Source organism: Homo sapiens, chromosome 2 (assembly GCF_000001405.40).
Source record: "Homo sapiens chromosome 2, GRCh38.p14 Primary Assembly".
NCBI lineage: Eukaryota > Metazoa > Chordata > Mammalia > Primates > Hominidae > Homo > Homo sapiens.
In genome coordinates, this window is record NC_000002.12 from 71,880,227 (window position 1) to 71,883,725 (window position 3,499).

Genomic DNA, 3,499 nt, shown 5'->3' on the forward strand with positions numbered 1-3,499 from the left:
AAGACCAAGGGTGGTTCAGGAGGCAAAGCATTTGAGAAGCAGATGGCTCTGGAAAATCTGGCCTGCAGGGCTGAGACACTTCCAGGCCATCAAGTCCAAACTCTTCTCTTATAGATGGTGAAAACTGAGTTCTGCCAGCACTGACCTGGGATTTCTGAACTCAGGGTGCTAGGAGCCCTATGGGTTATCCAGGCCTGCCCTTTAGTTTCCTTCCTCATGCTCCCTCTACATACATGTGTGCATACACACGTGCACACACGTGTACCCACACACACAGCTAATTCACTGACACCTCCCTGACTTTAAGATTGTGAGAGTGACATGAGACACATACATGGTGCATGCCTTACACTTACAGGGAGGCCATCACACCTGAATAGGTGCAGCGAACTCTGAGAGGTCTCAGCAGGGTGGAGACAGAACCTGACTGCACCAGGCCCCTCCTGACCTGGGGTTTTCTCGCTGAAGCAGAGAAGGTAGACTGCAGCCCTTTGGCTAGATATTGGGGAGACCAGGAATATGGATAAAATGAGAGAAGGTTTTGGGAACATCAGAGTGGCCCCAAAGAAGGGAATCCCTGAACCCAAACCAGCTGCCCAGCTACTGCTGGTAGCCCAGGTTCTGAGGCTGAGGAATGGGGAAGCCCCATCCCCACTCTTCAGCACCCAGTTGATTGGAAGAGGGAGGAAGCTGGCAGCTGGGGAAAGGTCTTGGGCCAAACATTTTTCCACTGGTGAATCAGAGGACAGCAGTAACAGGAGCCAGGCTGGCCTGACCCCAGCCACCTCTGTGAGTCATAGCTGAGGTCCCTGTGCTAATCTTAACCCCTCAGAGAGGACTTGTTGGGACTTGCCACCAAATCTTGACCACCAAAATAGTCTTGGAGCTGACGTGGCCCTGGAAAGCCCTGGCCCATCACAGAAGGGGTCAGAGAATGGAGCCAGGGTAGAGAGGGCTGGTCTGGGAGTTAGGCTGTGCCCCAGCTCTCCCGTGACCTTGAGCAACTCACAGTGAAGTGTTAGCAAGATGGGCTCCCAGGTCCCTTCCAGACATTCTCCCAGACCAGAGCCAAACTGGGTCTGAGAAGGAAGGAACCAGGACCTGAGGCAGCAGAAGGTTTTCAGGCCAGGTCTGGCCCTGCCCTCATCACAGTTGCTCACCAAGGTCCTCGCCTTTTACAGTGCACAGCTAGTGACAGCAACCTTGGTTCTGGGGCCAGCTGCATCCAAAATTTGTTCTGGGATTTTTGACAAGTTGCTTCACAAATCTCCTTTCTACAGGGAAGGCAGTACAGCTAGTGGTTTAAGGCACTGGACTTTGAAGTCAGACTAACCCAGGTGAGAATCACTTAGTCGCTGGGTGTCCTGGGGCAAGTCATTTAAATGTTCAGCAAATTTCAGCTGCTATCATTACCAGCTAGTATGTCTGGTCCTCAATTATGTCCTTCTATAAAAAAAAGAGGATAGCAAGAATGATTTCTAAGTCCCTTTCTCTAGCTGTCCTTTTCTCTAATCAGGTCCTTGACCCTGCACAATCAATTCAGGGACTGGGACCTTGTGGCAAATGAGAGAACAATGAGTTGAGGAAACATCTCTGGGACTACAGAAAAGGGATTTAAGATGCAACACAGGGACTGTGGTGAAACAGAGGTGAGCTCTGGAAAGGCTTGGTGCAGGAGCAGGAGCCAGGCCAAGTTCTGAAGCTCAGTGCAGGGGGCTGAGGCTCGGGTCTGGGAGACTGGAACCTGAGCCCTGATGGCTGGGAGGAAGCCTTCTCCCCAGCTCAGGCTGAGCCTCAGGTTTCCACTGCATTCTGAGCAGAAGAATCTTTCTTTTCACATCATTTCCCCAGATAATCTTTTCATCATGGTCTGAATGACCATTGTGTCAAATTATCTTAAAAGATTATTGAAAATGTTGCACCCCCTCCTTTTCTTCTAGTGTGCTGGTGTGCATGCATGTGTGTGTGTGTCTGTGTGTGTGAGAGAGAGAGAGAGACAGAGAGAGAGAATGGGGGGAAATTGAGCAAGAGAAAGAACAAGAGAGATGCAACTGTGAGTATCCATTGGTGTCCTGTTAGGGCCATATGAACAGACAGATAGGTACATCCTTACTGTCTCCCAGGGATGCTGAAGCCATGGCCGGATGCTAAGGTGAGAAGGTGGGGGCCTAGAAAGGTTGGACCTACAGCACCAAACTCTTGCACAGGCCAGAAAGAGGCCCTGCTTTCTTCATGCCCAACACTAGGACCTGTCTCCCAGAAGGTCCTAGAGCCCCAGAGACAACAGAAGCCTTCTTCTCCCGGTGGGAATGAGTGTGGGGACCTCACCCTCCAGGGAGCTTGGATGGGGCCAGGGTGAGGGCAGAAAGGATGGAGGTGACCCCTCTTGGGAAGGTAAGACCATATGTGAGCCTAAAAGGAAGATGGGTCCTGGGAGGGGTGTGGTGCTGAGTCTGGAGCACCTCACGCGGGTGGGCCTGTTAGACTTCCTCCTCCCAGTCAGGAGAGTCCAGGAGCACTCAGACGTCCTGGGTGCCTGGCAGGGGAGACAAGTCCAATGGATCTGGGATGCAGGGTGCTGGTGGCACAGTGAAGACACAATGGACATTGTTTATAGTGTTGCCAAAGGCTGGAGACTGCAGAGGCCGCTAAGGAGTGGAGAGTGGAGGAGAAAACTACAATTAAATGGCAACCCCAGCGCCGTCTCAATTCCTGCCCTGATAGGGAGGAGAGGGCAGAGCTAATATGGAAAGGGTAGGAAGGGACAGGGCAATCCCTTGACAGAGAGAGCTTTGACTCAGGGGTCAAGGGAACAGCTGTGGAAGCCTCGGGCACATCTGGCTGGGGCTGGGCTGGAAGAGGGTGAGCCTGTGGCTGGCAGGGAGCCAGGGATGTGGTAGAGACAGATAGGGCCTGTGTTTACTGTCCAGCTGAGGTGTTGCAACAGGAAGCTGGCTGGGGGTGGCAGGGAGGAGGCTGCTCAGGCGGAAACTATTTATCTGAAACAGAAGGAACAGCTGGGGAGGGAGGCCAGGCGCAGCAGCCAGCTTTCCAAGGCCACGCAGGATGCCCGTGCCATGGCAGCGAGCCACCCTATCTCCTGCCCAGCCTGCCTGCCTCGCTGCACATCCAGCCCTGCTGTCCTTGTCCAGAGCAGAGCCAGCTGACCAGTCGTCCCCATTCCTAGTCCCCAGCTGGGGCTGTGCTTCCCAGTGGGATGCCCCACCAGACTGCAGGTTTGGCCTGTGGCTGACTACGCTGTGAGGATCCACCATGTGCCAGGCATTGTGAGATAGGTGTGCGTGTTCTCCAGTTTCCAAAGGTGAAAACAGAGGGCATAAGGGATTTGTCCAGGACCACACAAGAAGTTAGCATTGTGGAAGAAACTGCAACCCAAGTCTGTCATATTTACAGAATCGCTCAGGTGTTCCTGCACACGTGGAGGTGGGCTGTGGGCCTGCCCTTGGCCCTGTGGGACTCACCTTCATCCAGCTCACAG

The 3,499-nt window shown here is 53.4% G+C and overlaps 1 annotated feature.

Annotated features, from left to right (window-relative positions):
* Positions 232-1,431: an enhancer, noted in NCBI's record as "P300/CBP strongly-dependent group 1 enhancer chr2:72107588-72108787 (GRCh37/hg19 assembly coordinates)". NCBI's record gives its function as "activates an origin of replication core promoter dependent on BRD2, BRD4, P300/CBP, MED14 and CDK7 cofactors, with strong dependence on P300/CBP, by STARR-seq in HCT116 cells {active_cell/tissue: HCT116}" and the evidence as "EXISTENCE:reporter gene assay evidence [ECO:0000049][PMID:35650434]".